Genomic DNA, 13,908 nt, shown 5'->3' with positions numbered 1-13,908 from the left:
CCAATACTTAGGTTTGATTCCCAGCCCCCTGTGAGACTTGTTATTGTTAACAATTTTATGTTTTAGTGACTAGCTGGATTATTTTACTGAAATCTATTTTCCCTACATAGTGTTCAGCATGTGATGTTCTTCCTCAGGTAGACTCAGCTTTTTAGATCACTTACAGTTTGGGGAGGGCCCTCTTTCTCTCTTTCCCTGATCACACCCAGCTGTTTAACTCAACTAATTGCCCTCTGATTGCTCTAGTTCCTTCAACAATATTCTGGGGTATATATTGCTGTATAAACACATCCAATCAAATTCTTGCTCCTTGGAAGGAATAGTTTCAGAGGTTCATGTTTTCTATTTGTTGTGACCCCAAAGGTCCTCTCAGCTGTCTTATTTTCCAGTTCTCTACTGCAAACTACCTGGCCTAATCTCTGGGTGTATCTTCATTAAATCTACAAATTTCCTCTCAATTGCTTTTCAACACAACCTCTACTGTTTTTGCTCTTGAGAGCATCCTTAAGTTTGAACTTCATATTCTCTTGCAAATGAGAACTTTTCTTTTGGATGAGATTAAGAGCTATATGTTTTGTTGCCTGTTCTACCCTCGGGGAAATCTTGGAGCCAGGGAACTGGAGCTGGGGATGGGACAATGGCAAGATTTTCTCTGAGCAACACCCCCAGTCTAGGATCTAAGCAGTTGGTGGGAGGTGGCAACAGCCTGAGTTCCTCTCAGCTTGCTTTTTCCATCACAGGACCATCACCCCATGAACTGGGGCAAGGGTGTTTGAAATACTGGTACTCTCAATGTGCCATGTTTAAGGTAGAGCCTCCATTACATGAGTGGCGGTTGATCTGAACAAAGAAACCACCCCCTCTCAGTTGCACTCACCCAGGACTTAGCCTCAGCAATAGGTAGCTGGGGGCAGAATTACAAATGCTGAAGTCTTGCTCCTTCTTGGAGAAAAGCCCTCTGACTGGGAACTTGGGGTAGTGGTAGCCTGTGTTCTTGACTGTGGCAATCTGTAGTGGTATCTCCACCTCACCGAGTTGGGATAGGGATTTTTGAGGAGTGACAAGTCTTGGTTCACATACCACAGAGTCTTGCTTTTCTTACCAAGTTTTAATATATTTTTAAAGAGAGATGTTTCTTGATTTCCTATTTTCCCTTAAGACCATTTCCAGAGGCTTTAAATGGTTGGTCTTTAAAAATAATTTTCACCAGTCTCACTGGGGCCAGTAGAGCTCCTTACACTGTCATTCTGGAAGTTGATCCCCTTTTCTATTTCTTAATGAAGTTTAAAAGCCTCTTATCATCAGACCCCTCTTCCTTCCTGAGCCTTATTCCTCAACTTAAACTCTGCCCCTCAGTCATAGCTTCCTTTCATTTCCTGAACAAGCCACAGTCTCTTTCACCTCTATATTTTGTTCATGCTATCCCTTCATCCTGGGTGTGACTTTCCTTTCTTCACATGGCTAATATCTACTCCAATACGGAAAAAATTTTGCCAAATCTCCAAATCTGGGATAGATACCTCCTTATGTATTTCCACACCACTCTAATCTTCCTGCCCATATCATTTATTGCACAACAATTGCCCATTTAGGTATACATATCTCTCACTAGATGCTGAAGTCTCTTAAAATGGTGTATTAGTTAGGGATTGAGTTTGGCTGCATGTAACAAGAAACGTAACCAACAGTGGCTAAAACGAAAGAGTTTATTTTTCTCAAGTAATGGGAAATCCAGAGGTGTACTGATACTGGTTCAGCTGTTTGGGAATACCAGGTCTGTGGATCCTGCAATCTTCTTGCCCTTTTCCTTCTGGATACATGATGTGTTTCCAGCTCTAGCCATTATAACTGCGTTCCAAGGAGGAGGAAGATAACAGAAGAAAGAAGACACAATAATTTGTTAAAATAGCAATCAAAATCAGCAGACTTCTGTTTATGTCTCCTTCTTCTGAATAAGTTATAAGACCAACTCTGCCAACTGCAAGAAAGCAGGAAAATGCAAGCTTTTGCTCTGGTTCATAACAGAACTAGAGTTTTGTTGATAAAGAAGAAAAGATAATGGACATCAAGTGGGCAAAAGTAGTCTTTGAAATAAGCAGGGACTATATCCTTCTTGTAAACCACAGTGTTTAGCAGAGAACCTGTCATATAATAAGCACTAAATCAACAATAAATAAATAAATACCATAGGAAAAACAGTGTGATAGACTCATAATGAGGCACCTCCATGTAACATGGAAATATTCACATAGCAGATAGTAGCAGACTGCAAGGGACCTTGTTCATCCCATGCAATAATTCATAACCAGGGTTGAAGTATGGCTGGGATGAAGGATGCACACCAGAATCTTGAGAAAGAGAGCTTTAAAGTATATCCATTCCTCCTGCATGTGCTGATATACTTCCTCCCTGAGACTCACTGATCTGGTACAAGCTACTTGGGCTCTAGATACAAAAACTGAGGCAGTTAAATAACTTCCTCAACCTAAGATTATTGGTGCCTAATGAATGTTGAATATTTTACAATACTATGAAAAGAATTTAAAACAAAACCAGAAGAATACAAATTAATAAATTATAGATTTTAAATTGGGTTTTTTAAAGAGGTAAGTTTAAAATCATCAAATATCACTGGGATATAGATGAAGTTTGCTTTGCATATGTATTTCCTGACATCTTACTTATGAAATGTGACCTTGAGAATCACAGTCTTCCTTGTCATTTGTAAAAGAAGAGAAAATTACAGAAGAACATCTGCATTAAACCCTACCGAAACTTCAATTGAAGGATGGCAGAAGAACAGAGGGTAATTTAAGGCACATGTCTTCATGGTGCAATGGCCTTTTATGTCATTTGAACTAACATCTTTCCTAGTTGAAGTTTACAAATAAATTTTAAATTTAAGAACTCCTTCCAGAAATGACTTCATAATATTCTGTGGATAAGAAAGTTTTCACATCATCTTTCCATCTTTGCCTACTCAATGAATTATTCTTTTTAAGGGTTACATTTTCCATATTTAGTTTTGCATCTGTGTCTTTTGAAGTCCATGGACTATTGTCATCTTGGAGTTGAGTACTGTATGTTTTCAGATAAATTCAGGATTGGCAATCTGTTTTGCTTCCTTTTTAACTGGAAGCATGCTATCACAATTTGCAAATGAATGCCATTCCTCTAAGGTGACAAACCAGGCAAATGAATGGTTTAAATAACCTTGACAGAAGCTCAAAAGTGGATTAAAAATCTCTAAAGGTGGTCTTCCTGCATAGTGAATTCCATTCCTGGTCCTCACCCACATAAAAAAGACTTAAATGACAAATCTTTAAATCTTTTGTCTTGTCTTTTAAAATAGTATGAGTAAGGATAATATATTAGAATGTAACACCTTAGACTTCCTTGAGGGCAGTATGAAGCTTAAACATTCCATTTGACTACATGAGACTAATGCAGAAAGCCACTCAAAGTCATAGGATTTAACCAGTTGGTGCCAGGGACTTAAACTCTAATCTCCTTACTATGCCCCTTGCATTGCTTTGCCAACTCAGGGAGGTTAGTAATATACAAGGATGTGGCAAAGACTGCTAGCTTCATCTCAATGGATTTTTATACTCTTTTTCCATAGTAGTAGAATGCATTTTCCAGTCTCCCTGGTAACTGGCTGGCTATGGCTATGTAACCAAGTTCTCACCAATGGAATTAAGAAAAATAGTTGCAAGGCAGTTTTGGGAAACCTCCTGAAGAAACTTCAGGCAAATAACTGTCAAGCTGCCGGTCAAGATGTTCAAGTCATACTGAAAATAATAGTCAAAGCTCCATTCACTTACTGCTGCAGTGCAGGCAAGTATAAGCAAAGGGCCCCAGTTCCCTAGCATTCCATTTTTCTCTGTGGAATGGCAGCAAGAGAGGGCAGATGACATGCAGTACACATGGGAAGAATTGTCTCACTGAGAAGAGCCACTAATAAATGGCTTCTGCATTTTATGAACCTAGGAGACCAGAGGAAGGAAAGGGGGTAGAACTGGGAGTTGAGAAATACTGAGTCATTGCGGGCAAAATTGCCTCAGCCAAACCAGCTGAAAAGGAGGTCTTGGGACAACATCTGAGGACCCCAATAAAGAGGCCTCTCAATGGAGGCACCTAGGCCAGGAATATGAGCATATGAGCTTCTGAGCATATGAATATGGCTTGTCCAGGCAGGGTTGGGGGAGCAGCTGAATCTGACTGCAACTCCTTCCAGAGAACTGGAATGTACTTGCTGTGCACCAAGTCTGATGTGAGGAGGGCAGCCTTCTCCTATGAGGCCTCCCAGGTAAAGTCTTGCAAATGCTTATGGTTGGGACCAAGCCTTGCAAATGCTTATGGTTGTTGCCTAGAGCTGGACTCCTTGATGACAATTGTTTATTTTTCTAATCCCACTGCTATGAATGTGGCTCTAGTTCACATCTTAGATGATGATGATGAGAACCATATACTAAAGATGGCAGAAAGGTGAGCTGGAAGAATCCTGGATCCCTGAAGACTTTGTGGAGCAGAATCACCATACCAGCCCTGGACTCTTCCTGGACTAGCCTTAGGTCTCCTCATCTTCTATGTGACCAAAAAACACAAATTTCTAACTTTCTTCTAGTTGTTGTTGAACTTAGCGCTAATTAATACATATTACACGTTTTTCAAAGCAGCTTCTGAAAAGTGTGCATATTATCCACTTTTTGTTTGTTAATTAACAAATGTCTCTGGGTTTTGTGGCTGGGGGTGATAGTCATACAGTAAACATTTTATCTACCTGGGAAGAATCATTCACTTTGTGCCTTTTTTTTGGGGCTAACCCAGTTAGTGTAGAGGAAAATGAAATGTGCACCATTGGGTCTTTTCTGGTTTAGCGCTTCCTTTAAACTCACAGTTTTATTTTACAGTTTTCATCAGTCCTCTGATGGTGTTCCTTCCCTTCTTGCCCCAGTTTTGTTTTATGAGTTTCTGAAAATTACCTCTGTCCAGATGACATTCTGCATTCTCTCTCCACCCATTCTTAGTTTCTAGCAAACAACTCTTCAACTTTGATGACCTACCCTTCAATTATGGTTGGATGGACCACTTTTCTTCCATTGACAGCTGTTTCTGGTTAGGAAAATACATCCTGGAATTAAATCCTTTCTCTGTACTCTATGCCTGTCAGTAGGACATGTGCCAACTCTGTATAGGATTCCCTTGATAAATTATCTGTTCTGACAGTGCTTTTTCTTCAGGAGAGGAAAGTCTGCACAATCCCAGTTTATTCCATAATGCCTCTTCCTAGGAGACAGCCAAATGTCTCACGCTTACTGCTACTAAAGGACCTTGATTCATGCCTAGACAGGAACCTGTCTCCTAAATGACTCTTATTCAGAAAATGTGTAGTAACAGGGTGGTGGATATTAGGGGCAGGCCATGTAACTGTAATGCAAGTTTCAATGCTTAGCTCTTTGCCTGTCTTGTCTACTTAATAACCAGAGATCAGATGATTGCTACTATTTTCCCTTCTAAGAGGAAATAAGGTCTATATATTTTCCTGGTTCTAAAACATTTGGTTCCTGGCTAATTCCAATCATAATTTAGCTGTTTCCCTCAAACAGTGAGGGTCTGGGGCAAGATTGTCATTAGGGAGCCTGTATTATGGGCAAACAACACCCACTGAAGAAACAAGTTAAAGCACTAATCAAGATATCAGTGATAGAGATTTTTTTCTGGCATTTTGAGACTTTATTGTTATTTATATCTCAGGAGTTTGTCAACAGATGATAAATGTTTGATGCAGAAATTCTTATTGAACCTACTATAAGTGAGACACTAAATCCTGGGGTTATGATAGCTAACTAGAAATTCAAGATGTTTCAGTGGAGACAGACAAGAAACAAGTACATCAGTCAAATGTGGCAAGCCCTGAATGACTTCTGCGCAAGAGTGCTGGGGGCTGAGTAGTACTGAAAGGTCAGGCAAGGCTTCCCCAAGGAGACTCTTCTTTCAACAGATTAACTGCCTACCTTAATGCAAAGACTATTTTTCAGGGTCTTAATTTTGTCAATCAACAACAATCAATAGTCTCATATACTTCAAATTTAGCTGTTCTCTACTATATGCTAGGGATTCTTCTTAGCACTTTGGAGTTTATTTCATCATTAAACTGTGCAATCAGTGAAGCAAGTAAAATATGGCTTTCTTTTGAAAAGAAATACTTGCTAGGTATTTCATCTAGTGCGAGTGATGAAGAATAACCTAAGTGAAATTTTGCACTGATAGGAAGATAACTCCATATTACTCATACCTTATGGATGTCTAGGCAGGCTAAGGGTATGGGTTATAGGTGAAGGTAGCACATAATTTAATGTTCAAGCCAGAACTCTTTGAGAACTGAAAGACAGTGCCATTAAAAATAGTTATACCAGGATAACTGGTGAAGTGCAAAACAAACTTGTCCCAGCTTGGAGGCCTTTGTAAATCTTGTAAATCCTAAAGTCCTTTCCATACACTCCAAGTGTGAAGGAAACATCTTTAGAGTTATTTATGCCACAACAAAAAATATATGAGAGAGAACACCAGACAAAGAGACAGTAGAACCATTTTCTTCTCTTGGAATCATCTGTACTAGCAGAAAATTGTGAGCTTATATTGAGGAGCTTTCTACTCTAAGGTTGCTCTCCATTCTAATTTTAGAAGCATAGAAAGGTAGACTTCCAGACTAATAAGACCTTGCAGTCAGTGGTCCAATGCCCTTAAGCATCACTTATGGCATTACTTCTTTGATGTCTACCTCCTGAAAGCCCATTATAAGCTCCTGGAGGACAGAATTCTGTCTGTATCAACTGTACCAAACAGGGTCTGGCATGTGGTGTGTGCTCAATGTTGGTTGAATTGGGGAGGAAATTATGATAAGCCCAAGGGAATGAATTTAGGCAGATAGAGAGTCAAGAGGTGGGTGTAATAGAGAGGGACAGAGGAAAGTTTCCAGGGTTCTCTCACATTGAAACATATCCTACTTCAAAAATGGTCAACAGTGATAGTCCTGCACAGTTACTGGGGCCATCTTACTCCATCTCTGAGACCAGTCCCACCACATTTGTAATCTAGAATAGGAGTCAGCAGACTTTTTCAGGAAAGGCAAGGTAGTAAATATTTTTGGTTTTGTAGGACATGCTGTCTTTGTGACAACTATTCAACACTTCAGCTTTTGTAGCATGAAAGCTAGTATAGAAAATAGGTAAACGAAAGAGGACAGCTAGGTTCCAATAAGCTTTATTTACAAGACCCGTCGCTGGGCTGGATTTGATCCCTGGGCTGTGGTTTGTTGACCTCTAATCTAGAACTAAAAGGGAGTGTGCAGATGACAACAACCTGAGGGTTATTCTGCCTACCTTCCCCAATTCTGGCCTACAAGAGAGCTGCCTGGAAGGTAAACCTTTGGCAAAATGCAAAGATAAGTAAATCATAATTTCAGTCTCTCTATTCCAAAGAAGTGCGCCAAGTCCTCTGAGATACTAAGCCTGGGAATGGCTATGCATTTTTATTACTTTATCTTTCTGAGAGTTTTGAGATGTGTTGCTGTTTTAGAATTTTGCCTCATAAGTTGTTACTGTGGTTTTGATAGATTGTGTCTATCAAACTTTCATTCCTACAGAGTAGGTTAGGGCTAATGTGACAGCACAGGAAGACCCAGCTGAGCAATTCCCATCCTCCTCATAGCAGAAGAAGAGCGTTGGACAGGAGGAAAGTCACTACCTCTACTGAAGGCTTACCCAGTATAAGAGATTACACTGCGTCTTGGTCAGCTCGGGCTGTTATAACAGCTCAGGCTATAGACTAGGTGGCTTAAACAGCAGACATTTATTTCTCACGGAACCGGAGGCTGGCAAGTTCAAGATCAAGGCACCAGCAAATTTGTGTTTTGGTGAGGACTTCCTGTCTGGCAAATAGCTCCCTTCCTCTTTTTATAAGGAGGCCCCACCTCCTAATACCATCACATTGGGAGTTGGGGGGCTTCAACATATGAATTTGGTGGGGACATGCTTAGTCCATATCACATTGGTAGCACACAAACCTTATAAAGTAATGTACAGGGAGCAAGAAGCATTTTATTACAGAGTTTTTTTTTAAAAAAATAATTAAAATTAGATTCCCAGGCTTCACCCCCCTCGCATGGTAGAGAAATTCATTGTCAGTCATTACTGTGGTTATTCTCTGTAGTAAAAGGCACCTCCAGCCCTTAGTCATCAGGTCACACAGATTGCTGCTGAGACCCCCAATTCCTGCAGATATGGGCTTTGAGCAATGTGCTTGGAGTCCAGAAACGTTCAGGTAACCTGTGAGCCCTTCTGTCTTTTGTACAGACTTCCTTTGGGCATCCTCTGAGGTCTTTTCACCACCCCAGGTCACTGCTACACAAAAGTCTATGAATTTCTCTTTCATTGTGCAGCCTCCAGCCTTTCTGTCTTCAGTCTCTACCTCTGTCTTTAGCGTGCCCCTCTTCTCTCCTGCAGTGATAGCTCATCTGTGAATTTAGGTGATGAAAATGGGCAGGAGGCATGTTTCTACAAAGACAAAGAGTTCTCCTTCATGCAATGAAAAGTCCTTGACTTAAGGAAAACCAAAGATTGGACCATGTGTGAGTGTGTGCATGTGCGGGGGGAAGGAGATGCGGAGGGAAAATGCAAATTAACATGCTGCCAAATTAACCTACCACACATTGTTTGTTTGATGTAATGACCATGGAAAAGATGTAGATGTAATCATTCCTGGAAAAGACGTTAGATGAGGAATCTGCAGCTTAAAGGGGTTAAACAACTTCTGGAGGTCACAAGACCTCTTAGCAGACTTGACCTTGGATTTGTGTGTCTTCAGAACCCTAGCTTCTTCCACTAGGCTACAGTGCCTTCCCACTAATTCTTTGGTCTCTTGCTAAAGCAGCCTGGCTTCCCAAGGGAAATTTCCTTATTCTGTGTTTGAATAATCTTAGCTTCTAGTGGCTTAGGCTGTCAGCAGCAAAGATCTTCTCTTCCCTTACATCTAGATATAAACCTGATCCCAGGGGTAATTCCTGGCAGAGAAAGCTGGCTGTTGTGGTCATGGATTGGACCAGAAGGAAATACTTCAATTCGTATACGAAATTCATCAGCTGTTAAGTATCTCCAAATTTTCCTCTAATAGTCTCATTAGGGATCTGGAACCTGTCTTCAAAAAAACAGCATCATTCACCATTGGCTTTTTGAGGGATTAGCATACACATAGAATAGAAATTACAGCCAAGTGTGGTTATATTCTTCATTTAAGGAGGAAAGAAATAAATCAAGCCCTAGGTCTGTTTTCTTAAGATAAGGGAAACTATAAGAATTGGGTTAGTTCCTAGATGGTGGGTTGATAGGTGCAGCAAACCACCATGGCACCCGTATACCTATGTAACAAACCTACATGTTCTGCAGTTGCATCTGAAACCTGAAGTAAAATTAAAACAATAAAAAAAAAAGAATTGGACTTGTTTACTCATTTTTTTTCCTGTATGGATCCACATTCAATGTTTACATTATCATAACAATTCAGAGCAAAGTCAAATCACATTTAAACTATATCTTCCACATATTCCAGGAAGAGTGTAACATATGCACTAAGACATGAAAATGAGAGAATGAACAGAATATTCAGAATATTTTGTCTGGTAAGCTTCTAGCTAAAGCTTTGTAGGTATGGGGATATAGTTGGAAGAGTAGATTGCAGTCTTATTTTGCAAGACTATGCTTTTCATTTCCTAAATAGTGGAGATCCATTGATAGATTCTGAATGGAGAGTGACAAGATTGATTTTATGTTTTATAAGAAATAAATAATAATAATTATAAATAAAATATCTGGTAAAAACATATAGGTGGGGTAGAACAGAAAATTGAAGTTAAGCAAACTAGTCAGGAGTATTCGCATTAGTCCCGGTGAGACAGGAAAAGAGCCTACCGGATACTTTGTACTCACAATACATTTCATGTATCTCTGTATTTTCCAGACTTTCTTGAAGTTAGGTTAGATCATGTTCTCACCAATGGTCTGCCACTTCTAACTTGTGTCACTTTACTTGAGGAAGCAAAGAGCTGTTCTGTCTTCTCTTCTGTCTCTTCTCTTTCATCTGAGATCATAGAAGCCTCTGTTGATGTAGCAGAGTCACAAGATGAACACAGAATGGATCTTGAGTTACTACATGGAGGAGGGCATGGAGGAGTGATCTGGAGATCACTCAACCTGCATCAAGTTTGGGTGAGTCCATAACAACAAGCCTTTGTTATTTTCAGCCATGTAGAGTTCCGAGTTTGACAGCTATAACAGCAGTGTTAATTATCCTGATGAATACAAAGGACCTAAACCAAGACAGCAGGTTTTGGAAAGAGAAAAAATATTTAAGAGGTGAACACTACAGGACACAGAGACTGGAGTTGAGTGTCAGAAACAGAGAGAAGTGAATGATGACCCTGAGCTCTTAGCCTGAGAGGATGGCAATGCCATTGACCAAGACAGATGGGGAGGAAGGAGGGAAAAGTAGGTGTTGAGTTTTAAATGCCTGAAGAACATCCAAGGGGAGGTTTCCAGCTGGCAGTAGAAAATATATGTCTGGCACTTAGGAGAAAGATCACTGCTGGAGATAGGCTTGGGAACCATCCTCCTTGAGCAAGTAGAGTGAGAAAAGAAGAGGGCTGAAAAGGAAGGATCTAAGGGTAAGATGTGAGAAAAGCAAAACTTCCCAAGCAAGGAGATGAATAGAGAAGAATGGAAAATCAGGAGGATGTAGTGGCAATGCCAGGGGAGGAAGGAATTTCAACATGAAGCTGGTCTTCAATGGGATGTGCCATAAGCAGTACCTTCTACAAGGTAAGTACCAGCTGGAAATAAGCTGGCCAGTATTAGCATCTGCTTCATGATGGATGTGAATCCACTTGTTGGAATACAAAGCTTGATATTAAAAATAAAGATTAAGGTGACACATGGTTATGGGAAATACAGTTACTTGTTCTCTTTCTTCAAATCTTCTTGCCCAGACATTACAAACAAATATTTCTTAGTTAAAGCTATGATTTTTGTGTAAGAAAAACACTTGAAACTGTCATCACAAGCATCTTTATCAATGAATATTGAAGCTACACATAATTTCAGAGGCAGTTTCTGCTACTTGGAAGTCTTATTTTAGTCCCAGAAATGGATCACATGGAAGGAATGACCAAAATGATACAAGTGCCTGGCGGAGGGCAAGTGCCAAAAGGATGATTTAAGCAATAAATAGCTCCATAACTCTAGGCTAAAGACTGGGGCAAATGGAAGACGTCTTCCTAGAAGAAAGGATACTGCACTGGAAGTTGAGAAAACAAAGGGAAAATGAAGACGAGGAAGACGTAAAACAAAGGGGAGCCTCAGAGAAGGCAAAGACATGGACGAGGCAAAAGTTTGTATGTGACATGTAGTGACTAAGTCATCTGCATTGCACAACACTATGAAGTGATACTCAAATGGTGGCTCATACAGACAGTTCCGTCTGGAATTGCTCAACAATTCAGTGGTTCAGAACATACATCTACACAAAATCTAGAAATGGGCTGGAGATGAAGCTAGATAGGTAGACAGGGGCCATGTTGTAAAAAGACTTGAATGCTGGTATGAAGGCATTCCTATTGAACTTCAACACTTAGACATTTTTGAATGGAGAAATAAAGTGGGAAGAATTGTGTTGAAGATATTCTCCTAGAAGAAGTGTATAGGGTAGGTCAAAAGAATAGAGGTAGGGTGAAAAACTAAAAGACCATTGCCAGTGTCCAGATTTTAGGTGGTGAAGTTCTTATTTTCCAGTTGTAATATCAAGCATGGGAAGTGAGCAGCTCAGTGGCTCATGGGCTATCTATCTACGGTCAAAACTCAAAATATTGAGTCAGCAGGTAGAGAAGTTCAGATTTGGCCATCATTTGGGTAGAAATATGATGAATTTTGCTTTGGAAATTCTGATTTTGGAAAGATAGGACATCTAGTAGGAGACATCCGGTTGGAAGTTTGAGATGTGGGACTGGAATATGTGTTTGCTTGTGGGTATGGGTGGAATGCAGAGGAGTGAAGGGATACTCCAAATAATGAGAAATCAGAAAAAGAAAAGCAGAAAGTGGAAGATTCAGTCCTATGGTGTTACTGTGTTTGAGAGTTAGAGAGGGCAGTGCTGCTGAGAGTGGGGTTTGCCCAAAGGCAAAGACCCACAAGGGGTAGACTTCAAGGGTTTTATGTAGGGGTGAGCGGCCACACTACCAAAGTACCAGAAAATAACACTGGGAGATAATCTCCTGAATTCTCTCTTCTTCGCAGCTCCCCATCTACTCCCTGTCGTTAAAGCAGTTTCAGAACAGTGGCTGAGATAGATTACAAAGGGTGAGGACTGCAGTGTGCTTCTTTCTGGAAATGCCTTCTGGAGATGGAAAGAGGTGACCTTCAATCCAGCTCCCTACAGAAAACTGCCTGCTCTGCTGTGAGGCAGTTAGACTCAAAGTCCTTGGCTAAGAGCTTCCAGGGAGCCAAGCAGATGGCAGCTCCGTCAACTGCAGCTGCAAACAGCTTCATCTTCGGTTTATTTCCAGGAACCAGAGGAGCTCGGGGATGGCTAACAGCTGTCTACCTGTAGGGACTCAAATGATCTCTGGGCCATCAAACCATCATATACTAAATAGTGACTTAGCAATTTATCCAAATGCTTCCTGGTGGCCTGAAAGAGCTATCCAAAACTTCCTTGATATTCCCAAAGAGGGACTTTCGCTGGTTCAAAATAGAGTAAATATACTCTTTATTGAAGATCTTTCACAAATGAAAAGATTCTACAAACCATGACTGTTGGTTGTTCTCTCTGAAAAGAAATGTAATTATCTTATTTGGAGGTTTCTTTTTATAACAACTTCCCAGGGAAATATTTTTCCTTCTTTGCTGAAATCTATAGCATAATCCATGGTCTTTAGAATAAGGAATGTTAACCACCAGCTAGAGTCACTGCCAAACCCAAGTCCTGCCAGGCTACTGCAATACCGTGGAATTGCTATGAATATTTGAAAGCATACAACTGGTTACGGGAAGTAGTACCTGGCTTGACATGATTTCATGTGAGTTAGAATGCAGTGTTAATTTATTAAGTAACAAACATAGAAGCAAATTCACCCTCAAACCCACTCTTGAGAAGGCATTTTATCAGGAGTTGGATTGAAAGTCACTTCTCTCCATCCCCAGAAGGTGCTTCCAAAAATGAAGCACATGGCTGGCCCTGACCCTTGGCGATCTATCTGAGCCAGTGGCCTGAAACTGCTCCAAGGATGAGAGTGGGAGTGTTAGAGAATTCGGGAGATCTTTCCCCAGGGGTATTTACTCTTGTACTCTTACAATCAGCAATGGGAGTCAATGTCTTTGTCATTATTTATTGAAATACATTTATATTGAGTGCTACCAGGATGCAAGGCACATAGTATGCACTCGTCTCTGCCATATATTTCTGTATACAAACCACCCTAACACTTAGACAATTGCTTAAGACGATGATGGTTTAACACTCCTCATCATTCCATGGGTTGGCAGGTCTTAGCTGGGTGGTCCTTTTGCTCCAGGTGGTGTCACTTTGAATTCAGTTAGGAGATCAGCTAAGATTAGAAGGCCTGAGATGGCTTCATTCATATGTCTGGCACCTCATCTGGGGTGACTGAAACGCTGGGAATGGCTGGGTTGCTCTGTGTCTCTCCCTCTCTCTCTTTCTCTCTCCAACAGGGTCATTATGGTTCTTGCACTGTAGCCCAGGGCTCCAAGGGCCTTTGTTCCAAGAGCAAAGAAGGATGTGTCAAGCCCCCAAACTGGCACAGTGGTTAAAGCATGTGAAAAGTTCAGTCTGAATTAAAAT

At 40.6% G+C, this 13,908-nt stretch overlaps 1 long non-coding RNA gene across 1 annotated transcript, besides 1 other annotated feature; it reads right to left on the bottom strand.

Annotated features, from left to right (window-relative positions):
• Positions 1-1,688: 1,688 nt before the first annotated feature.
• Positions 1,689-10,075, bottom strand: LOC105379725 (uncharacterized). Its single transcript, XR_001745184.2, has 2 exons — positions 9,987-10,075; positions 1,689-1,848 (listed from the first exon to the last, which is right to left on the bottom strand). It is a non-coding gene; the product is annotated as an uncharacterized LOC105379725 (long non-coding RNA).
• Positions 3,624-4,354: an enhancer, noted in NCBI's record as "H3K27ac hESC enhancer chr7:41631701-41632431 (GRCh37/hg19 assembly coordinates)". NCBI's record gives its function as "activates a minimal SCP1, AML or CMV promoter by ChIP-STARR-seq in naive H9 embryonic stem cells {active_cell/tissue: H9 hESC(naive)}" and the evidence as "EXISTENCE:reporter gene assay evidence [ECO:0000049][PMID:30033119]".
• Positions 10,076-13,908: the final 3,833 nt, after the last annotated feature.

The sequence above is a fragment of the Homo sapiens genome, chromosome 7 (genome assembly GCF_000001405.40).
Source record: "Homo sapiens chromosome 7, GRCh38.p14 Primary Assembly".
Taxonomy (NCBI): Eukaryota; Metazoa; Chordata; class Mammalia; order Primates; family Hominidae; genus Homo; species Homo sapiens.
Note: the sequence above shows the minus strand (reverse complement) of the source record. Positions and strands in the feature narration are given on the sequence as shown.